Here is a 23,815-nt window from a genome sequence, read left to right as displayed (position 1 = left end):
TACAGATCAGGAAATAACATTAAATCAATATTTTCATAAGGACTATTACACACAAGACCTTCTGAAACTTGAAAAATATGACAAAGTGTTTTAACTGTGATCACATATCATATATAACTGCTTTACAGAAAATGCTAAACACAAAACGTACTTGTGCTCAAAGTAATGCATTCACTCACAGTCATTCAAATACACATTCACCCTGTAATGGAATCTGTCGACACTCTTGCCAGAAAGTATGTAAACAAAACCACCAGGTCTAAAGCCTGGGAAAGTAAGTGGGAAGCAGACACTAAAAACTGTTCAGGCATTCTTAGAATAGCACACAGATATAACATTAAACACTCCTTAGAACAATTACTTTTTAAGGAGGCAGAAAATACATATACACCATAAAATAAATAATAAACCATATAAATATACATGCCACTCTGCCACATAACAGTCAAGTGGTGACTGAAACAGTGGGACTATTTGTCATCACTAGGGAAATACTTTATAACTAAGTTGTAGTTAACTATGTAAATGACAGAGTTTGGTTCAGTTTTACAAACAACAGATTATAAAATTTGTCTCCTTCAATAAAAGAGACAGTTATCAGGCCTTATGTGCTATATGCTCTTTGTAAATAATAAGAAATTGTAGCTCCAGCAAACTGCCAACTCCTCTGGCTCTACAGCTGTGTATGCTACCCAACTCTCCTACTAATAAAAATGTTATTTAAGGTTTTTTGAGGACTACAAAGCATTTTTTAAAGCACTATATTCAAGCAGCTAAGACGCACAGTCTAAAATGGTGATTTACAACTGGTATGCTGAGGTTGGTTGTATAGTATGTGGCAAGTAATTTGTTTCTAACAATAGAGTAGTAAAGTTGGCAGGGTATTTTTAAATATAAAACTAATATTCCTGATAATATTATCAGTCTCACCAGTGATATTCCAACATTCTTTCTTGAGTGAGAGTCAAAAGACAAATTAGCACTAAGAGGTCCTGGGAACAATATATGGGCCAAAGCCCATTATTACTATAAAAGAAAGAATAATGGCTATTTTGGGGGGGAAGAAAGATTATGATTGGGATGGGGCACATTGAAAAGTTTGTGGGGTGCCTAGAAAAGTTCTATTTCTTGACTTAGTTATAATTACAAGAGTTCTAGACGTTTGCCTTATAACTCATTAATTTATACATTGGTATTGTGTGGTTTTCCGTATCTAGTTTCATTTACAATAAAATCTTTTTAAAAACCAATAAAGCAAGAGAAACTCTAATAGCTGTGAGGCTAACTGAGACCGTGGTACAGCTCACTTAATCTTTTATTATCTTTTGGAAAAAGTGGGGGTACAAATGAAAATATACTTTTAACCTCAGCTTTTTGTATGTAAAGTTAGGATAAAACAAACACCCCGTATACCACTAGGGATTTTGGTGCTGATTTAATGAAAGTCTACTTGTAAAAATATTTTGAAATACTTTGAAATTCTGTAACATTCTCTGCAAATGCAAAGTATTCTTAAAACCACATAGAATAAACAATAGTCTCACTTCCTTGCTTAAAGCCCTTCAATGACACCACCCATTTAGCAGTAATTTTCATAGTGTTCTTTGTGGAAACCTAAGACTCCACAGACATGCTTCAGGGGCAGGGCATCATGTACAGATATGCAGATTGTGCTTTGCACAACGGTGCCTGGCACAAGTGGATCTAAAATCTGGCCTTCATTGTTCGCCAAGCCTTGAACCTTAGTGAAGAGACATTTTCCTTTGCATGTCGAGAGGGAGCTCCTTTTCCTAAACTGTTCAGAGACTCTCTAAGTGCTAGCTGTAGTTCTGTTCAAAAGTTCCCCATTAAACAGTACCTTATTTCTGTCAAAAAATAAAAACAAACTGTCTGCAAGTCTTCTTCAAAGTTAAGACAACACAAACACATTTTATATTTGTAATTCCTTCATTTACAAACATATTTGAGCATTTGAGTTCCTCTTCTGTGAGTTGCCTGTTCATATTCTTTGCCCATGTTTCCCATTGGGATTTTTTTTCTGAAATCACAGAAGCTAATTCTAAATTAACCTGTCAGTTATGCACATGTTATAAATCTTCTCCCAGTCTGTGAAAACTTACACATTGCAAGTGCAAGTGTAAACTGGTAATAATCCTTTTGAAAACAATTTAGCAATAACCAGTAGAGATGAAGGGATAGGCCAGGCCTAGTGGCTCACACCTGTAATGCCAGAATTTTGGGAGGCCAAGGCGGGCAGATAACTTGAGGTCAGGAGTTCGAGACCAGCCTAGCCAATAAGGCAAAAACCTGTCTCTACTAAAACACAAAAAATTAGTTGGGCATGGTAGTGCATGCCTGTAATCCCAGCTACTTAGAACGCTGAAGCAGGAGAATCACTTGAACCCGGGAGGCGGAGACTGCAGTGTGCCGAGATTGTGCCACTGCACTCCAGCCTGAGTGACAGAGCCAGAATCCATCTCAAAAAAAAAGAAGGTATAAAGGTATACATGTCCCAGCTATTCTTAGGAAAACTCTCATACATGAGTACAAGGAGGTACTCACAAGGCTATTCATTAGAATACCATTAGTAATAGCAAAAAAGTAAAAACAATGATGGCCTTCATAATCTAAATAAACTTTCCCATCTAATTTTCCATCCTTTCCCTCTTTTCTCTGAAATTTTATTCATTCATTCATTCATTCATTTGCTGCCTTAAGGAATATTACTAGACACCTACTCTGACTAGACACCATGCTAGGTAGGCAATCATGCTTAATTACTTGCAGTTACCCTACTAAACCATGGTCTCTTACTGGCTAAAGAGACTTTTCCTGTCCTTCCTCTGGGTTTTGACATAATTTTGTACATATCCCTGTTAAACTACTTATCAGTACTCCATAATACTTGTTATTCAATTATCTAGCTACAAAATAAGTGAAGGCAGTCCCAAATCACACATTCAATTAAATATCTGAACAAAGGGCAATTCTGTTTTTTAAAATTCCATCCAACAATTACCAAAAAAAAAAAAAAAAGTATTTTCTAAGCGAATATTCAGTGCTAGAATACTACTTTCATGAGGATGTCATGAAAGTATTTGTTATCATGGTATCCCCAGCACCTAGATCATTGCCTGACACATAAGAGTCACTCAATAAATAATTGTTAAGACCAAAAAGCCCAAGCAATATTATCTGACAAATAATAATATTTAAAAGTGAAAACAGAATCGTTAATTTATGTAGATGTTTTATCACTGAATAAGTAAAAGCTGTTTTCCCTCTTAAATAAAAAGTATTTTTTCTTTCATGGTGAGTTGCCCTCACATCTTCCCACCAAATACTTTTAGGACATGTCCCAATGAATTTCTTTGCTATACAAGGTTATCAGAGACTCAACATCAATCATTTTCTTCTCTGTGTTACTAACACAGAAAAATTCCCACATTAACTATGAAAGGCTGGAATTGCAGCATTACTGTTAGATATATAACATTTTATATTATAAAATACACTAAAAGTAAAAATAGATAAAAGTATGCCTACTACCTAAAAGACTGCCCTGTTAAAGACTGAATAATGAAATCACACATACACACATATACACCCACACATTTCCATTTGTTAAAAAGTTATTTGCATAGTTTGAGTTGAGAAAATGTTATGCACTAAAAGGCATATAAATCTAGTATGTATCAGGCCTCATTTGTGCTACATTCTATATTAGTATTCTACTGTATAATATAGTTAAGAATATTTATATAAAAACAAGACATAAAGATTTAAGCTCTCTCAGTTATTAAATGCAACAGCATCAAAATGGCTTACCAAGTTATCATTCCAACTAATTCTACTTGAAGAAGAAAACAAGCTTTAGCCATTCAAGCTAGAAAAGCATTAATTACCACCTGGAAAATACTAGAAATTAACAATGGAAACAAATTTGTACTTCTAGACTTATGAAATGATTTTGATTAAAATAGGCTATTGCTTTCATTAATTTTATTTTTTAGGAATAAATGCAGGTTAATTTCAAATAGTAGCTCCTTGTCCAAACAAATAATATAACATTAATACTAGCTAGGACAATATTTGTTACAGTAATTAAAAGACAGAAGTAATGAGTTCTGAGGAATGAATTAAGACTCTTGGATATAGGATGGCTTGGAAATCATGCTAGTAAAAACCGGAAAGTACTAGCGATTAAATCTGATGTCAATGCTAACAACTATTTGTAATTCTCAAACACAGAGAAAACAGTAAGGAGCTTCTCAAAGAAGCATATGAATAGACTGACATATTAAAAAACAATTCTCATTATGAATAATAAATACAAAAAATACTTCATAGAAATCTGCAAATTTAGTTTAATATGGCTTTATGAAATATGCACAATGAAAATAACCAGTTACAGCAGCTTTAATTTAGAAGGGATCTTGCATGTACTGGTAATCTAAATCCCTCAACAACAAAATAAGACGAGGAAACTGAAACCCAGAGAAATTAGGTGTGTTGCTAAACATCAAACAAAATGTTAAGTGTCAGTCCCAAGACTAGAACCCAGGTCTTAAGACTTTATAGTCTGGGGCTCTTTCTACTAGACTGCTATGTATTCAGTCATAGTCAGCTAGAAAAAATGTTAAGTATTCATCAACGGTATTCATGCTGGAATTTAAGAGGCTCTGCTCTTTTCCCTACTTATATGCCACCCAAATAGAGCTGTGTTTTCATTTGTTCATTCTTCCCATACCCCACTCTCAGAGGTTTACAGCACCCCTTTACATGCTCAATATTACTCTCCTCCACTATCCTCTTGAATCCATCCTTCCTCATCTCTCAAGAATCTTGCTCCATCAATAATTGTCATCTCTTTTCTATTTTCAGACTTTCTGTAGGACAGCTCACGTGGCAGCTGGCTTCCTTTATAGTAAGCAAGAGAGAGTGCCCAAGATAGAAGCCACAGTCTTTTGTAACCTAATCTTAGAAGTTACATTCCTATCATTTTTGCCAAATTTTATTCATTAGAAAGAAGTCACTGAGTCCAGGTCACACTCAAGGGAAGAGAGTTACATAAGGGAGTGAATACCAGAATTAGGAGAAGCCATCTTAGAAGCTGCCTGCTACAGCTTCTAAAGAAGAAATGCATAAGGGAGGCTTGCTAACCAGATACCAAGACTTCTTACCAAGCAAGCGATTAAGAGATATGGTATTGGCAAAAGGACAGATAAACTGGCTAATGGAATATAATAGAGAACCCAGAAACAAATTAATGCATGTTTGGAACTTTGGAAAGTAGCAGAAGTGATATGTCAGATAGTGAGGAAAGGAGGGACTATTCAGTAAATGGAGGTAGAAAAAGTGGTTATCCACATGACAATGGTATCCCTAACCGCCTCTCACACCATTAAAAACAAGAACAATAGAACTCTTAGTGAAAATATAAGTATTTTTTAGACCGTTAGATAGAAAATATTTCTTAAACTAGACACAAAGACGTTGATTATAAAAGATGGATAAATATGATTATATTCAAATTAAGAACTGTTACTCATTGAAAGACATCTTAAGACAGTGAAAGACAGACTTAAAAACTGGAAAACACAATAAAAAAACTATTAGGTCAAGAATATATAAAGAATTCATACAAGTCAATGAGAAAACTAAAAACAACCCAACAGGCAAAAGATATGAACAGATATTTCTTATAAATAATACATATATAAAGAAATATTCAGTATTATGAGTAATAAGGGAAATGTAAATTAAGACCAAAATAAGAATAATCCATTCCATTGGCAAAAATTTAAAAGTCTGACAATACTAAATGTGAGAGACAATACAGCTCCAAAGGATCTTATTTACACTGCAGGTGAAAAGTAAATTGAGGCAACCACTTTGAAAATAGTTTGAAATTATCTCCTAAAGTTAAACATTAGCAACACTCCATCATCGAGGGAGTGGATGTAAAAATGGTGGTATAATCACACAATGGAATGTTATGTGGCAGCTCAAAAAATGCACAAGAATGGATGAATTTTAGTAATATAATATTAAGTGTATAAGGTCAGCCTTAAAAGATAAGATTTTTTAATTAAAGTTAAAAACATCTAAAATTTAAAAATTCCCAATGTACATGGAATTCAGAATGAGTTACCTCAGGTCAGTGAAAGCACGTTAAGGAAGGGACTTATAAGATTAGATGTTAGTTATTATCAAGAATCTAGTTTTGCTTTGGGTGATGGGTACAGAGATACTTATTACATTATTAAAAATAACTAAGTAAATAAATAAAAACCAAGCATGAACTAATAATGAGAGTATGTCATGAAACAAAGACATGTTTAATCCAATGCTGTGTACCTAAGCTTTTTAAAAAAAGGTCCTAAAAAAAGTCTCTTTTTTAAAGCTTTTAAAAAAAGCTACATGAAAATTTGATTTCAGCTTGCATGTTAATCATGCTTTTCACCAACTGCTATATAAAGTATAATTTGTATTACATGGTACATCTTATAACAGCTGTTATTTCATATGTAATGGTCTTGCTTCCTTACCAAGAATATAAATATTTCTACCATACATACTGTCTCTGAAAAAGTACTGACCATAGAGTAAGTGCTAAATAAATACTTGTTGAATGCTTGATATACTTTGTATATTTGTTCCTGCCCAAATCCCATGTTGAACTGTAATCCCCAATGTTGGAGGTGGGGCCTGGTGGGAGATGTTTGGGTTATAGGGGTAAATCCTTCATGGCTGAGTGCTGTCTTCAGGACAATGAGTTCTCGTGAGATCTGGTCATTTAAAAGTGTGTGGAACCTCCCCCTCAACACTCTCTCTCACTCCTGCTTTTGCCATATGATGTGCCTGCTCTTGCTTCACGAACTTCCTCCATGATTATAAGCTTCCTGAGGCCTCCCTAGAAGCCGAGTAGATGCCAGCACCATGCTTACTGTAAAGCCTTCAGAACTATGAGCCACTTAAACCTCTTCTTTTTTTTTTAAGAAATTACTCAGTCTCAGGTATTTCTTTATAGCAATGCAAGAATGGCCGAATACAACACTCATATTTAACTTATTCCTCAAATAGCCAAGAGTAAAGCTATGAACCCTGTATCCCAAATTTCATTAAAAGTATTACATCACTATGTTTAATGTTTCCTACTGCTTTACTCGGGAAAGGAACTTAGACCAAAATCACCTGCTCACCTGTTATGGCTGAGGGAAGCAGTGATGGGGGTAGGCACCACAGTCTGTAACCCCTCCCCTTCTATCTCAGTACCAACAAGGCAGATGAGCTGGAGTTCTGGTAATCCTACACAGTTTACTTCATGCCAGCTTTTGCCTGAAAGAGCATCATTGAATGGACAATAATGTTTATTAAATACAAAAAATAAAAACTCCAAACTTCTACCTAATACTCAGCTGAGCAAATATCACTCGTAACACTACCTCCTGTCTTTGCTTTTCTAGTAGCTTCTGTTACTCAGTAATTCCCAATGTAAATAAATAAATTGCAAAATTAACAGCAAATGCATAAAAGATTGCTTATTATGTTAAGAATGCTATATCCCAATCCAACCCCCCAAATCTCTACCACAGTCCCAATAACAAAACAATATAAACAAACAACTTACTTTCCATGAGGTCCAGGTAAACCAAGAACGCTACATAAACTTGGGTGGCATCTCCTATATCTAATTCCATCATTTCTAGATACTGAAAATTAAAATATAATTGTCAAATTGAGAAGAAAAAATTATTTAATATTTTCTTCCAATCATCAAGTGGTCATCAAGCATATATAATCTATAAAATTCTTCTAGGTATAGTGGAAGTTAAAAGGCAATATAAGATCTTATCTCTGTCTCTAAAGAACTTGCAATTGTTAAATACATGCACACTTAAAATTGTTAGGCAAATAACAATATATGACTGTAAGTGATTAAAAACCATGTAAATGGAATAAAAAACATGACACAGCAGGTCAGAAGAGCTCTACTCAGAGGGACTGGTGAAAGATTTATAGCAGAGGTGGGATGGGATACAAGTTGAGCACTGAAGAACATTATGATTTAAGTAAGTGGAGAAGTAGAGTAATACTGCAGGTAATTACACAAAGGTGGGATTAAGCCACATACATTCAAGGGCCTGTAAAGAAACCTATCTGCCAGCAATAGAGAAACCTTTTTAATAAAACTTGTGATGGGACATGTTAGTGGGTACTGTGTATTTCCCTAGCCTCTTATTTGTATATGGAGAGAATCTGCTAGAGTATCAGTCCTAGCCTCTCTACCCACTCTTTCTCACTTTAAGAGTAGATTTTTTAAAAGGAATTGACAAGGAACTAGAGAAAGCTGCTTCTTTCAGACTACTGGTCAGCATAAGGGGAATACTTTTCAGGGGCCTACACCTGCAGGAGAATTCTGAGGCTGCCCAGCTATGCCAGCGACTAGGTGGATATGCAGGGCTAATGCTGAGTTGAATTATTAGCAGACCTGCATGGGGACAGGTCTAAAGTCACATTCTCCCATCAGCTTCACTGTAACTGTACAGGTTCAGGAGGACAGGGGTTAATTAGTTGTCGACTTCAAACATGTTTTGAAAATAACACCCAAAACATAATTTTGAGCCAGGTTACAAGGCTTTGGTGGTCAAGCTAAACATGTGATTTTATCAGTATGGAAACACTGAGGATTTCTAAGCAGGAGAATAATAAAATAAAAGTGTGTTTGGGGATAATAAATCTGGTACCATTTTACTGGATGAAACTACATAATTTTTAAATTAACAGAAAGGTGAAATTGGAAAAACAAATACCCCCTATTATTTTATTACTTGTTCTTTTTCTTTTAAAAATTAATTTGATCCTTCAAGAAGAGAAATCAAAAGGGGAGATTTGATGGTCAAGGTGTATACAGCCATTAACTTGAAAAAGAAAACAATCTACAAGTATATAAACTGAATAACACCACCAAATCTAGATAAAGTCTTAAAAAGTTGTTACTGGTGTTTCGCTTATTAAGTACTTATATAGTGCTTTCTGTATGTTGAATGGCTTACAAATATTCATTAATTTAATCCTGTAACAACCGTATAAGTAAGTATGGACTATTAATATCCCCATTTTTCAGGTGAGGAAACTAAGGCATAATAAGATCAAGCAACTTGTCCCAAATCACAAGGTTGATAAGTGACAGAATCAGGATTTAAACTGAGTCTGATTTTGAGTTCATGCGCCTAACCAATATGCTGCCTCTCCATGCTATTGTTTCCCTAAAAGGGCACTAAATAATATTTCCATGCTATTGTTTCTTTTTCTCACCTTTTGGGAGGATGAAGGGGACAGAGTAGGAAGATAAAATTAAGCAAGAGAAGCTGAAAAAGGTTAACTCTTCAAACTTATACCTTCAAATTTTTTCTTGGCTGTTTTTAGATGATTATGAATTATTGCTCTCTAGCAGAAGAGTGCAATTCTGTTAAAGTACCGTAGAGACTAGTTTTTGAGATTCTTACAAAACCCACATCTCCATTCACTGTCTATTCACTGCTTGGAACCGTACTTGTACAAGGCAGTAATGTCTCAAGCAGAAGTAAGCAGAGGACTATCTTGATCTCGCCTGCTGCTAATCTAGAAAAATACACGCAAAATGTGAGTAGCTCTGCTTTGAGCAAGAACCTATTCAAACTTTCGAAGAAATCTGAAATATTAGGAATCTGCACCTTTTCAAAATAAAGATGCATTCTGGGCCCAAGGCTAAGTGTAAACGTGACTGTGCTTAAATCTTTATCACTATGGACCCCTAGATCTTATCCATCGCCCACAAATTGTCTTGCATGGTTACCGTGAGGATTAAATAAATTTATCCCCCAAAGGGGATTTACCTAGACAGCAAAACTAGTGGAGCGCTTATTAGGGATCTCCGGCTTGAGAGGGGCGGAGTTACTGTCTGGCTCTCAGTTCCAAAATGGCTTTGGCTGGGGGATTGAGATAGTGCAACTTGTTTAAACAAACAAAACCGATGCTGCCTGAGGCTGGCAGTTGTGCACACCGGTCCCCCTCGGTGAGGGTGGCGCGCGTCCTCAGTCTCCCACTGAGGAAGAAAGAAAGAGAGCTGCCTGGGAGTGTTCTGCCTGGGTTAGGGGCCTGGACGGCGCCCTGCTCCTCTCGCGCCTCCTGACCTTAGGGTGAGTGCCCATCCAGGCGTCCTCAGGGGCCCACGAAGGAGCTCCACCGCCGTCGCCAAAGCCGCGAACACCGCCCGGACCCAGGCCGCTGCAGCCGGGGGTCGGCTCGGAATCGCCGCGCTCCTCCATGCCGGCCGGTGCGGCGCTCCCGTGGTGCACCACGACCCGCGCCCGGCCAGAAGCAGCGGCGCGCGCGCCTGTGGGTTCCGCTTCCCCGAGGCTCGCAGCTGCAGTGCGAGAGGGCTCAGAAACTGGGAGGAAAGTTGCATCAGCCCCTCCTTCTGACCAAGGTAGCTAGAACCTGCGCGAACGCTCTCTAGTTTCGCTCTGCGTTTATTCAAATCTGAGCAAATTCTAACGTGAAAAATATTAAAGAGTAGCCTGCGCCCTGAAGCTCTTAATCCTCTTTAAGTCAGTGCTGCCGATAACTCTCTGAGAAAGTTGGGGGATACATACGTCCTCTTTGCCTTCAGCAGTGGGGTCCTGGTTTCTGATTGCTGGGGACGGGAAAGGCCTTACTCAGTGCCCTGACATAGAACTTTAAAGTAGAACCATACTTTCAGGGTGGACCCACGTTTCAGGATTAGAGGAAACACGAGTTGCTGAACGAGTGTTCAGAAAGGTAGGATACAAACTAGCATAAGCATGTGATCTGGAAGCCAAGGATGAGGAGTTTCAAACAGGCAGAGTAGCACATTTTAAGTATTTTTTAATTTACTGTGAGTGAAATGGGAAGCTATTGGAGGCTCCTGGACGTTTTCATAGGATCACTCTGACTGATATGTTGAGGATAGACTGGAGGGAGCAAGGACACAAACAGAGACTGGTTAGGAGGCTATCGCATTGACCAGGACAAGGGTGACTCAAAATCCAAAGTCCCAGGCAGGACATAACTTCTGTTTTCAACCATGATAGACTAAGACCCTAGTGGACCATCCCCCAGCAGAAAACAATTTGGACACAATGCAAAAAGCTGAATATACTGGAATGTGAATAGTGGACTGGTAGGAAGGGCAAGCTTGCTTGAAGATCAGGAACTACACTTGGACACAATACAAAAAGCTGAATATACTGGAATGTGAACAGCAGACTGGTAGGAAGGGCAAGCTTGCTTGAAGATCAAGAACTCCACAAGAAAATTCTCCTCTCTTTGGCATTTAGCTTGGGGCAAAGTGCAGTCCAGAAGTCAGGCTCAGCAGTACCAGGGATGCATGTATAAAACTTATCAGTTATTCTTGTCTGGGGAAGCAGAAAAGTGAAGACAGAAAATTTTGAATTCTGAAGAGATTAAGAAATCCCAAGGAAGGAGTCAGAGAGTGGATCCCCAAACTGTCAACCCACATCTCTGAGAGATCCTGAACCACCCAAAACAGAATCACAGCAGCTCAGTTAAAAACAAAAGATCTGAACTGAGACCAGAGCTGTCTCCAAAAGGGAGAGAGTTTTCAGTTAAAATCTAGCCGGGAAAATTACCTACTAATACAAAGGAAATAACACTCATCAGAGAAGAATAATAGAATCCAGACTCTCCACTTAACACTCACAAAGTCCAGAGTACTATCCAAAACTATCTGACATATGAAATTCAAGGAAATGGATCGCATACTCTAGAGATCAACCCTGAGATGAATCAGATATTGAAACTGACAGATAAGGATTTTAAAGTGACTATTATAACTATCCTCAATGAAGTAAAACATGTTTTCAATGAATGAAAATCTCAGGAGACAAATAGAAAATCTCAGCAAAGAAAAAGAAAAAAAAAGATTTTTAAAACCAAATGGAAATTCTGAAAATTGAAAATTATAATTTTAGAAATAAAAAATTCACTGGGTGAATTTAACAGCCAAAAAAAATTACAAAAGAAAAAGTAGGGAACTTGAAGATAGAGCAATAGAAATTATTAAAAGTAAACAACAAAGAGAAAAATTATCTTTAAAAAGTGAGTAGACCAACAGAGATTTGCTACATGTCAGACAATCCAACATGCATGTAAACAACAGAAGTAGAAAAAAAAAGGGACAGAAAAAATTTTTGAAGAAAGAGTGGTGGCCAGAATTTCCCCAAATTTGATGAAAAACACATTTACTAGTACAAAATGCTAAATACATAGCAACTAAAATAAACACAAAGAAGTCTACATTGTAATAAAACTATTGAAAGTCAAAAAAATAAAGAGAAAAGCTTGAATGCATCAAAAGAAATAACACATCATACACAGGGAAAAGAAGGGCATCTATTATTGAATGAAATGTAAAGCCACACATGAAGATTCATATGTTGCCCTCAAATACATTACATTTGAATGAACCTTTGCCACCACAAAGCAGCTGCTAAGCCCGAAAGAAGAAAATGGCACTGAAATTAATTGGGTCATTGAAGCATGAAACACTGACACGAATTCAAGTGATTGGAAGTGAATAAATCTCTCTGACTCCTAAAGATCCAAATCAGTTCATATGATGGCATTTTTAAAAGCATTAAGAGTATTTTGATGCTAATCTGAGTAGAGGGAAACTTTTATAAATCAGTAAGGATATCCAATGGGATTAGGGACTATATGAACCAGCCTCAAACATCTGCAGGGGAAGAATTTCAGCTTATGTTCAAGAAAAAATAATTGGGGGTATGGAAAGAACCATAAACCAAAAAAGCAACAGATAAATGCCATCCTTTGGCAAATAGATTAAATACTGTTGCTTAGAAAAAGCATGATACATTCAAGAATGAGTATTACGTGCTTTTCAAAAGAGTTGAAGAATGAAAAGGGAGTGTCTGTTAGCTTCCCTGTTAATGTAAATTTTTAAATAGGTCTTGGTGATTGTGAATGGCTAAGAATGAACACAAAGGATTTGGGAACACTTAGACAACCCAGTATTTAAAGTACAGAATCAAAATACCTATTGTGACAATCTAGAGTGAAATCCACTAGAGAACAGAGGAGAGTTTCAGTGTCTGGTATCCTGGAGGATTTCTCATTTTGTAAATGCTTCAATAGTTCACTCTATTAGAGAACCAAAGTAGTGAGAAAAAAAAGCTAGATAAGAAACAACGAATGAAATCCCCCCTGAGTATATTGGATTTAATCAAATTCATTGTAATCTGGCACTTGCTGAACTCATTTCCCAATGATATCCTGAGCCAGATCATTTTATTCCTACAAAAATCTGTAATGTCTAGCCAGAGACATATTAATTCAGTAAGAGTCTCGAGGAAATGCGAACACTAAATTGTGATGTGAATCTCTAGTGTGGAAAGAAAATTTAAAAAAGAAGAAGAAAAGCTTTTACACAGTATTGTATGAGACAGTGATTCCAAGCTGAAAAATGTAGCCTAGCATTCTGGATCAGCTTTTCATTCATTGGTTGTAAGGAGGTTCACATATATCTTGTTCCTTTTTTTGTACACAAAACACACAATTTCCTATTCTCTGTGTTTCAAGAACAGAGAAAGATTCAAGAAAGAGAATGATTCAATATTGTAAAGATGGCAATTTCCTCCAAAGTTATTTACAGATTCTATCAATTCCAATTAAAATCCCAAAAAGTATTTTCTTAATACCTGATAAACTGATTCTGAAATGTGGGCATAAAGGGCCAAAAATAACCAAGACCCTTTTTGTGAACAAAAGGGAGAGAACTTACGAAGTTAAAGTTCTGAAATATAAATATCTTATAAAGATAAGGTTTTAAACAAAATTTAAATTCTTACAAAGATCTCTAATTACAAGTATGTGATATTGGCACATGGATAGGTAAAACCAATGAAGCAAAATAGGGAGCCAGGCAACAGACCCATACACATGTGGGCAGATGCAAGAAGGGAAGGAGAGAAGGGGTGATTGGCTACACGGTATAGGCAAACACTTTTAAATCTCTAGGAGAAAATATAAAAGAATATTTTATGACCCCAAGTTTAAGAGTGATTTCTTAAGACACAAAAAGCACAAACCATATGCTTCACTCATGTCCCTGTGAAGACACCACCAAACAGGCTTTGTGTGAGCAACAAGGCTGTTTATTCCACCTGGGTGCAGGTGGGCTGAGTCTGAAAATAGAGTCAGCGAAGGGAAATAGGGGTGGAGCCGTTTTATAGGATTTGGGTAGGTAAAGGAAAATTACAGTCAAAGGGGGTTGTTCTCTGGCGGGCAGGGGTCGGGGAGGGGGGGGTCACAAGGTGCTCAGTGGGGGAGCTTTTGAGCCAGGATGAGCCAGGAGAAGGAATTTCACAAGGTAATGTCATCAGTTAAGGCAGGAAGAGGCCATCTTCACTTCTTTTGTGATTCTTTAGTTATTTCAGGCCATCTGGATGTATATGTGCAGGTCACGGGGAATATGATGGCTTAGCTTGGGCTCAGAGGCCTGACAATATGGAAAAAATTTGGTAAATTTAACTGTATCTCAGTTAAGAATTTCCAACACTAAGAGAGTGGAAGGAAAATGACATCTGTAACACACAATTGAAAGAAAAGATACCCAGAATATATACAGAACTCCTAAAAATCAATTAGGAAACAAAACAAAACACTCCTTAGGTTAAAAAAAAGAAAGTAAACAGAAAAAAAGACATAAAAGGCCAGCAAACATAACTTGATGTTCAGCAACATTGATTGAGTGAGAAAATGTAAATTGAGGCAAGAAGATACCATAATACACCTATCAGATTAGCAACAAAAGCCAAGAGTTGGCAGAAAAGTAGACCAAAGGGAAGATGCACAAATCCTATGATCCAACAATTCTAATCCCAGGTATATATTCTAGAGCAATATTTTTAAATGAAGTGCCAGGACCTGTTAGTGGTTGTGAAATACACTAGTTATTTTAGTTATGTTAGTGGTTAGTGGGTTGAGTACAGTTTTCAAAAAGTAATTATTTAAAACACACATAGAGTTTCAATCAACAACTTGAATGAATCTCATAAAAACTAAAAACCTAATGTATAGTCAAAATGTTAGTTATAGAAGCGTATATAAGATATTTGATTTGTTTAAAATTCTAATATAGCAGCTGTATTTATAATAGCCCAGAAGTGGAAACAACCCAAATGTCCCTCAGCTGATGAAAATATAAAGTAGTATGTTCATACAGTGGAATATTATTCAGCATTAAAAAGGAATAAAGTACTCATGCTACAACATCAATGGACCTTGAAAACATAGTAAGTGAAAGAAGCCAATCACAAGGGGTCACATATTGTAGAATTCCATTTATGTGTAATGTCTAAAGTAGGTAAATCTATAGAGACAGAAAGTAGATTAGTGAGAGAGTAGCACGAGCTGGGAGACATAAGGATTGATCACTAATGAGTATAGGTTTCTTTTTGTGGTGATAAAAATGTACTAAAATTGATTGTGATCGTGTTGCATAACTATGAATACACTAAAAACCTTTGCATTGTGTACTTTAAATAGGTGAATTGTATGGTATTTGAAGAAAAATTCAAATGCAGGCAAAACTAACACACATTTAGGAGATGTACCAGAGTTCTCCAGAGAACAGAACCAAAAAGAGAGAATGAGATTGATTTTAAGGAATTGGCTCATGTGATTGTGGGGGCTTGAAAACCTGAAATCTGTGGAAGGCAGGCTGGCAAGTTGGAGACCCAGGAAAGAGCTTATTTTGCAGTCTTGAGTCCAAGGGCAATCCAGAGTCAGAATTCCTTTTTTCATGGAGAATCCCATTCTTTTAAGGCCTTCAACAGATGGGATGGCAACCCACATTATGAAGCGTAATCTGCTTTACTCAAAGTCTACTGATTTAAATATTAATCACATTTGAAAAATATCTCACAGCAATATCTAGACTGGTTTGACCAAGAAACTGGGCACCCTAGTGTAGTGAAGTTGACCCGTAAAATTAACCATCACAGGAGGTAAAGTTCTAAACAAAATGAAGAGACTGATTAACACAAAATTCAGTCTAGTACTTATCTCTGGGGAATGGAACAAAGCATTGTGACAAGAAGGGACTCAGGGCTTCAGAGTTAATGGTCATGTTCTGTTTCTCAAGGTGGGTGCTGGGTATATGGATATCCATTTTATTAGTAGTATTTAAATTAATGTATTAGTTTATGGATTATATCTGTTAGTTTATATTTCATGTTTATTAAATATTTTTATTAAAATTTTTCTAATATCTAGAGTACAAAGTGATAGTAAGTTAGGCAATTTCTATAAGTAAACAGATGCATATATGCAACCTTAAATAATGCCTGGCTTTGTAAATATGAAAAGACATCAAAAGCAATCCATGGTCCAAAAAATATCCCATGTCTATCTCTAGATATTTAGTCAACATCTGCTATCAACATGGATATTGAGTCTCACTGAAGAGGACTGAGTACAAACCCACATTGAAAATGTGCAAATTAAAAATGCCATATTAAAATTACCCCAAAATGTTAATGGTTGTGGTGGAGTAGTGGATCATGAGTGATTTTTTTCTTTTTTTCCCCCATTTTCAACATTTTTTAAAGTTCTATAGTAAAATAGACTTTAATAAATCATTGAATTTTAGAGCCTTTGGCCTAGAAGGGCTAATACAACACTCCACATTCATGTTAAAATATATCTTACGGCTTATTTACCTTGCTTAAATGTCCCTCCCTGCTTTCTTCTATTCCTCTCTCCTTCTCCCTCTCTCTGTCCTTTCTTCCTTCTTTCCTTCCTTCTTCTCCTCCCCATCTAAAACATCCAGTACAACATTAAACAGACGTAATGAGATCTGACATTCTTATCTTGTTTCTGATCACAGGAGGAACACTCAGTCTTTCACCATTAAGGATGATGTTAGCTGGGGGCTTTTTGTAGATGCTGTTTATTACGTTGAGGAAGTTCCCTTCTATTCCTATATACTGAGAATTTTTATGAGGAATTCATGTTGGATTCATAAATGCTTTCTCTGCATTTCTTGAGATGATCATATGATTTTTCAAGTTTGTTAATAAATCACATGGATTGACTTTTTCTTATTTTCTTATTGTGGTAAAATACATATAACAAAAAATTTACTATTTTAAGTGGTATTAAATACATTCATAATGTTGTGCAACTATTACTCATATCCATCTCCATGACTCTTTTATCTTTAAAACTGAAACATATACCCATTAAACAATAACTCCCCATTTCCCCTACCCCCATCCCCTTGGCAACCACCATTCTATTTTGTCTCTGTAATTTTGACTAACTACCTTATATAAGTTGAATCATACAATATTTGCCTTTAAAAATTGGCTTATTTCACTTAGCATAATGCCCTCAAAGTTAACATGTTGTAGCATATGTCAGAATTTCCTCCCTTCTTGAGACTGAATACTATTCCACTGTATGTATATACCACATTTTGCTTTTCCATTCACTAATCAATAGGCACCTGGTTTGCTTCCATATTTTAGCTATTGTGAATAATGCCACTGTGAACATGGGTGCACAAATATCTCTTTGAGACTTTGCTTTCAATTTGTTTGGGTATATAGCTAGAAGTAGAAGTGTTAGATTATATGGTAATTATATTTTTAATTTCTTGAACTGTCATACTGTTTTCCACAGCAGCTGTACCATTTTACATTCCCACCAACAGTGCACAATGTTCCAATTTTTCTACACCCTTGCCAACATTTGTTATTTTCTGTGTTTTTCTAGTAGCCATCCTAATGAGTGTGAAGTGATAAATCTTATAGTTTTGAATTGCATTTCCTAAGGATTAGTGATGTTGAGAAACTTTTCATGTGCTTATGGCCATTTGTATATCTTCTTTGGAGAAATGTTTATTCAAAGTCCTTTGCCCATTTTAAAGAAATGATTATATATAAAATTGTATAAAACCGTATAATTTTCTAGCTTTCTCTGTTACTACTTCCCATCCTATCTCCCAGCCATGCCCTGTTCATTGTATCTCTCAAGTGTGTCATACTGTTTCATTCCTTGCTCCTGCAGTTCCATCTACCTGGAATTCCCATCTCTTTCCCCTTCTGTCTTCCTTTTCTTAGTCCATGCTACTCATTTTTCTTTTCTTATATTTCGAATCAAATTATATTTTTTTCAGCTTTTAAGTTCAGCAGTACATGTGCAGATTTGTTACATAGGTAAACTTGTTTCATGGGGGTTTTTGATACAGAGTATTTCATTACCCAGGTATTTAACCTAGTACCCATTACTTATTTTTCCTGATCCTCTCTCTCCTCCCACCTTCCATGCTCCAATACGCCCCAGTTTGTGTTGTTCCCCTCTATGTGTCCATGTGTTCTCATCATTTAGTTCCCACTTATAAGTGAGAACATGTGGTATTTGGTTTTCTGTTCCTGCATTGGTTTGCTTAAGGATAATGGCATCCAGCTCCATCCATGTCCCTGTAAAAGACATTATCTCATTCTTTTTTATGGCTGCATAGTATTCTATGATGTGTATGCACCACATTTTGTTTACCCAGTCTATCATTGATGGGCATTTAGGTTGATTCCATGTCTTCATTATTGTGAGTAGTGCTGCAATGAACATACACGTGCATGTGTCTTTATGATAGAATGATTTATATTCCTTTGGGTATATAACCAGTAATGGGATTACCTGATCGATGGTCTTTAGGACTTTGAGGAATTGCCACACTGTCTTCTACAATGGTTCAACTAATTTACACTCCCACCAACAGTGTATAAGCGTTTTTTTTTTCTCCACAACCTTGCCAGCATGTTATTTCTTGACTTTTTAGTAGCCATTCCGATGGTGTGAGATGGTATCTCATTGTGGTTATCCTATAATTCTCAGCCTATCACAGCTGCCCCAGAGGCATTTATTTCCTCCTCTTCTTCGCTGTGGTTTTTACTTGAACTTCTCCAATAATCAATGATGTTGAGCTTTCCTTCATATGATTGTTGTCCACATCTATACCTTCTTTTGAAAAGTATCTGTTCGTGTCCTTTGCCCACTTTTTAATGGAGTTGTTTGGTTTTTCCCTCTTGTAAATTTGCTTAAGTTCCTTTTAGATACTGGATATTAGACCCTTGTCAGATGCATAGTTTGCAAAATTTTTCTCCCATTCTGTAAGTTGTCTGATTACTCTATTGATAGTTTCTTTTGCTATGCAGGAGCTCAGTTAATTAGATCCCATTTGTCAATTTTTGTTTTTGTTGCAATTGTTTTTCACATCTTCTTCATGAAATCGTTGCCAGTGCTCATGTCCTGAATGATATTGCCAAGGTTGTATTCTAGGGTTTTTAGAGTTTTGGGTTTTACATTTACATTTATAAGCCATCTTGAGTCAATTTTTGTATCTGGTGTAAGGAAAGGGTCCAGTTTCAAGCTTCTGTGTATGGCTAGCCGATTATACCAGCACCATTTATTGAATAGAGAATCCTTTCCCCATTGCTTGTTATTGTCAGGTTTGTCAAAGATCAGGTAGCTGTAGGTGTGCAGTCTTATTTCTGGGTTCTCTGTTCTGTTCCATTGGTCTATGTGTCTGTTTTTGTACTAGGATCATGCTGTTTTGGTTACTCTAGCCCTGTAGTATAGTTTGAAGTTGGGTAGCGTGATGCCTTCAGCTTTTTTCTTTTTGCTTAGGATTGCCTTGACTATTTAGCCTCTTTTTTGTTCCATATGAATTTTAAAATAGTTTTTTTCTAGTTCTGTGAAAAATCTCAATGGTAGTTTAGGAATAGCATTGAATCTGTAAATTGCTTTGGGTAGTATGGCCATTTTAAAAATATTAATTCTTCCTGTCCATGCATGCTACTTATTTTTCAATGCTCAATTCAAAGACATCTCTTTAATTAAACATTTCCTAGCTATCTCCACTTCCCCACTTCCTTACTTATGCTCCTTTTTCCATCATAAGACATAAAATGACTTATAGCATTTGTGCATTTATATGACACATCTTATTTATTCATGCATTTCCAGCAACTATATCTTGGCACAGAGTAGGCATTGAGCAAGTGTTTGAAGGAATGAGTTAATATAATTTAAGGGATGCATCTATTCTTAAATGAGACGTAGAAGTGTAGTTTACATTTGTATAAACTTGTTTTGAATTGGAAAACATTCCTCCGTAGTGACTATTCTATAGCTCTTGGATGCAGCCAGAGCATAGACAAAACTTTGACACTGACGTAGTTTAATTTTAGCCTTTCCCACCTCAGTCACTGCTCTTTTTCTCCCTTAATATTAATTCCCTTCCTAGGACCCAGAGTCCTCGGGCCTACGTATCAGAAATCCATAAAACTTGCTTTGTCACCAAAGAGACCCATGCTTCAAATTAGGATCCCATTCAGTTCCCTTTATCAAAACTTCTTATAGGCCATTTCAGTTTAGGTGATAAGATTTAAAAATCTGATTGAATTAAAAAGATATCATCTAATGCTCCTCTCTCAAGGATTTTCATGTTGAAATTGGCAGAATTGTCAATTCAAGTACATTTTACATTGTAGGATTTTAGGATGGATCAGAAAAGCGAGTAAAACAAACCAGGTAGTGAAAGAAAGATATTTCAGTACAGAAGAAAGAAGCCTGGATAATTCAGCCAAGAGACTCTTTCTGCCAACTATGGCCCAGCAGGACTTACGAGGGGCTGGCCACTTTCTCCCTGTTTTTCCAAGGGAGAAGCATTCAAATATTCAACACTCAAATGATTGGCATTTAGCAATTTCATAAATGTTTGTTGAATGAAAAAATGAGGCAAGCATTTAAAACTTTTTTACCTAGGAAGGAATTGATGTTCAAAGAGGTCAAGTTTCCAAGGTCACAAAGAGAATAAGTGACACCAGTGAAATGAAAATTCAGCTCCAAGTGTCAGTTGCTCTTTCAAGCCTATCACAGCTGCCCCAGAGGCATTTATTTCCTCCTCTTCTGGGCTGCTGGAGCCACAGACATCTTGAGAAGCTTTCCTGCAAGAAGTCCTCTGGCCACCTCATAGGCCCTGTCCCCACCACATTGCACTAAGGGTGACAGTCCAAGAGGTTTTGTTGTCCCAGATGGAAGTCCCCTGTGCTGGAACAGTATGGGGAGGGGATATGAGAGAAAGTGCTTACTTCTAACTTTATGTAGAATCAATTGGAACAGTCTACTGGCAGTGGAGACAAAGAGATATGTGTGTACAACCCTGACTTTCCATTCAGCCGATTTTCCATGGAAAGAGCATTATAAGCAATGAATATTTTAAAATATAATTGGCTTTTATTTTTAAATTAGTTTTTTTTTTCAAATTAACTGTCTTATAACATCAATCCTATGCGGGGGGGAAACATCCAAATTCACATTACTGATTTCTGAAGAACTTATGAAACAAATCTGTTAGTAAGATGGGGACTTAATTTTTCCCAGGCTTCCCCTCCACTGCCTCCCAACCATATTTACAATGATCTTCTACTGTTGCATACCCTGTTATTACCTTAATATTCTCAGTCACTAAATGAGCACTCAATTAAAAGTTTTAAATAGGTGTTTTGTAGGTTATGTGGCTGGGAAACCCTTGATTTCATCTACAGAGCAGAGCAGGTTGTAGTTATTTTAAGAGAACTCCATGGAGCCGATTTCATTATAATGTCATTAGAGACCATACAGGTTTAGATGCTTCACCTTTCTTTGAAAAAATAGACTCAGATAAGCTGTTGACTTTAGGTAACTGTATTAGTCTGTCCTCACGCTGTGAATAAAGACATAGCTGAGATTGGGTAATTTATAAAGAAAAAGAAGTTTAGTGGACTCACAGTTCCACATAGCTGGGGAGGCCTCACAATCATGGCAGAAGGCAAAGGAGGAGCAAAGACACACCTTACATGGCGGCAGGCAAGGGAGCATGTGCAGGGGAACTGCCCTTTATAAAACCATCAGATCTTGTGAGGCTTATTCACTATCACGAGACTAGCATGGGAAAAACCTGCCCCCATGATTCAATTACGTCCCACGACACGTGGGGATTATGGGAGCTATAATTCGATGTGAGATTTGGGTGAGGACATAGGCAGACCATATCAGTAACAGAAGGAAAATAAGACAGAAATGTGGTTGCCTAGCTTTAAACTCCCTCTGTTTGCAGTAAAGTGAACAAATGATAACTATCAAACCAAGTTTGGCTAAGGAGTGCGGATTTTAGTATTGAAAGATGAGTGGGACATAGTTCAAGAAAGGGAAACAAGAAAGACAGAACAACATGGAGATTGTCTGGACCTTTCTAACAGTCCCATCACTACCTCCCTTGTGGAAATGACCACATCTTCCTCTATCCCTTCACTGTAGCTGGTACATCTGTTACAGTACTTCTAACAGATGTTTAACTCTCAGTCTTCCCTACAAGACTGTGAGCCCCTTGAAAGTGGGAACAATTCCTGAAAATGGATGGAGGGGAAGGAAATGTCTGTAGGCCATTCGATAAAAAAATATGAAGATTAGAGAAGAGATTAGAGCAGAAGACATAGATTTTGAGGATATAACCACAGGAGACCATATGGAGTGGGAAGACTAGCACACTATAGGGAGGCACACAGTGAAGGGGCTTGGCTCAGAGACAAGTAGTATCAGAGGAGATCTAGGATGGGAGATTATGTAATCGAAGTCCAGGAAGGTGAGAACGGAAGAGTTTACTGAATCTGCCAATGCTGAGGCCATCTGTTGGTTTTGCAGAACAGTGGGGAGGGCTGACGCCTTACTGCACTGTGGTGGGAAAGATGGGAGATGAAGAAGTGGAGAATACAAGTATAGATCTCTCTTCCAAGGAGCTTGGTCAAGCAAAGGGATGACTAGAAGAAGACACAGGACTTTTTTTTAAAGCTTTTCTTTCTTTTTTTTTTAACGGATAAGAGAAGACTGACCAAGTATTTAGCTTGAGAGAAAGGAGTTGATAGAGATCAGTTGAAGATTCAGTAGAGAGTGGAATGATAGAGAAAAATCATGGGCTAGAAAGGGAGACCTCTCCCTTTCTAGTCTGTGATCAAAGACCCTGTCGTGAGGAGGCACCTGCAAGTAAGAAAGGTCTTGGTAGGGATGCTAGTTGGAGACAGTGGTGTTGGGGGAGCTGGATGAAGGAGGTGATATACTTCAAAAGACAGTAGGGAAGACTTCTAATAGTTGCTGAGAAGGATTGATAACAACTAATAAAAAGACTATGGGACAGACCTGAGGGTGAGTTGGGATTGGAGATCATGAATGTGCACTGGCACCAAAACACCCTCCATACTTATCTATCAAAGGCTACACAATATATCTTCAAAACTAAATATCCAGCCGAGCATGGTGGCTGATGCCTGTAATCGTAACACTTTGGGAGGCCGAGTTGGGCAGATCACTTGAGCCCAGGAGTTCCAGACCAGCCTGGGCAAAATGGTGAAAACCCGTCTCTACAAAAAAAAAAAAAAAAAAAAAAATTAGCTAGGCGTGGTGATGGACACCTGTGGTCCCAGCTACTCGGGAGGCTGAGGTGGGAGGATTGCTTGAGCCCAGGAGGTCGAGGCTGCAGTGAATTGTGATCGTGCCTCTGCACTCCAGCCCCGGCAACAGAGTGAGGCCCTGTCTCAAAAAAAAAAAAAAAAAAAAAGTAAATCTCCTTTAGCAGTGTATGCCAGCAGTTTCATTTTATGTGCTAATTGTGTTCTTCCTTCACCCCTTCTTTTCTTCCTTATCTCTTCTCTGCTCTCCAACATGC

The 23,815-nt window shown here is 37.1% G+C and overlaps 1 protein-coding gene across 7 annotated transcripts in view, besides 5 other annotated features; it reads right to left on the bottom strand.

Annotated features, from left to right (window-relative positions):
- The window catches only part of TSEN15 (tRNA splicing endonuclease subunit 15), a 45,756-nt gene extending 35,417 nt beyond the window's left edge, over positions 1-10,339 (bottom strand). For 6 of the 7 annotated variants that reach the window (NR_023349.3, NM_001363643.2, NM_001300764.2 and 3 more), the window contains exons 1-3: positions 10,179-10,339; positions 7,634-7,715; positions 7,206-7,341 (exon numbers count right to left, since the gene is read on the bottom strand). Coding sequence is in view for 5 of the 7 variants with exons in the window: in NM_001363643.2 (NP_001350572.1) it covers positions 7,206-7,341; positions 7,634-7,715; positions 10,179-10,313 (353 nt within the window). In the remaining 2 variants the exon portion in view is untranslated. Of the gene's footprint in view, positions 1-3,828; positions 3,909-7,205; positions 7,342-7,633; positions 7,716-10,178 lie in introns of all 7 variants that reach the window. The other variant, NR_125335.2, reaches the window with a different exon arrangement.
- Positions 10,260-10,554: an enhancer, noted in NCBI's record as "tiled region #13835; HepG2 Activating DNase unmatched - State 1:Tss, and K562 Activating DNase unmatched - State 1:Tss". NCBI's record gives its function as "activates a minimal TATA promoter and a strong SV40 promoter by Sharpr-MPRA in HepG2 and K562 cells {active_cell/tissue: HepG2 | K562}" and the evidence as "EXISTENCE:reporter gene assay evidence [ECO:0000049][PMID:27701403]".
- Positions 10,260-11,420: a biological region, named in NCBI's record as "Sharpr-MPRA regulatory region 13835".
- Positions 10,433-10,562: an enhancer, noted in NCBI's record as "active region_2231". NCBI's record gives its function as "activates an Ori minimal core promoter by ATAC-STARR-seq in GM12878 lymphoblastoid cells {active_cell/tissue: GM12878}" and the evidence as "EXISTENCE:reporter gene assay evidence [ECO:0000049][PMID:35858748]".
- Positions 10,485-11,420: an enhancer, noted in NCBI's record as "H3K27ac hESC enhancer chr1:184019783-184020718 (GRCh37/hg19 assembly coordinates)". NCBI's record gives its function as "activates a minimal SCP1, AML or CMV promoter by ChIP-STARR-seq in naive H9 embryonic stem cells {active_cell/tissue: H9 hESC(naive)}" and the evidence as "EXISTENCE:reporter gene assay evidence [ECO:0000049][PMID:30033119]".
- Positions 10,623-10,732: an enhancer, noted in NCBI's record as "active region_2230". NCBI's record gives its function as "activates an Ori minimal core promoter by ATAC-STARR-seq in GM12878 lymphoblastoid cells {active_cell/tissue: GM12878}" and the evidence as "EXISTENCE:reporter gene assay evidence [ECO:0000049][PMID:35858748]".

Source organism: Homo sapiens, chromosome 1 (genome assembly GCF_000001405.40).
Source record: "Homo sapiens chromosome 1, GRCh38.p14 Primary Assembly".
Lineage (NCBI taxonomy): Eukaryota > Metazoa > Chordata > Mammalia > Primates > Hominidae > Homo > Homo sapiens.
The sequence above is the reverse complement of the archived record's forward strand: the minus strand, read 5'-3'. Positions and strand labels throughout refer to the sequence as shown.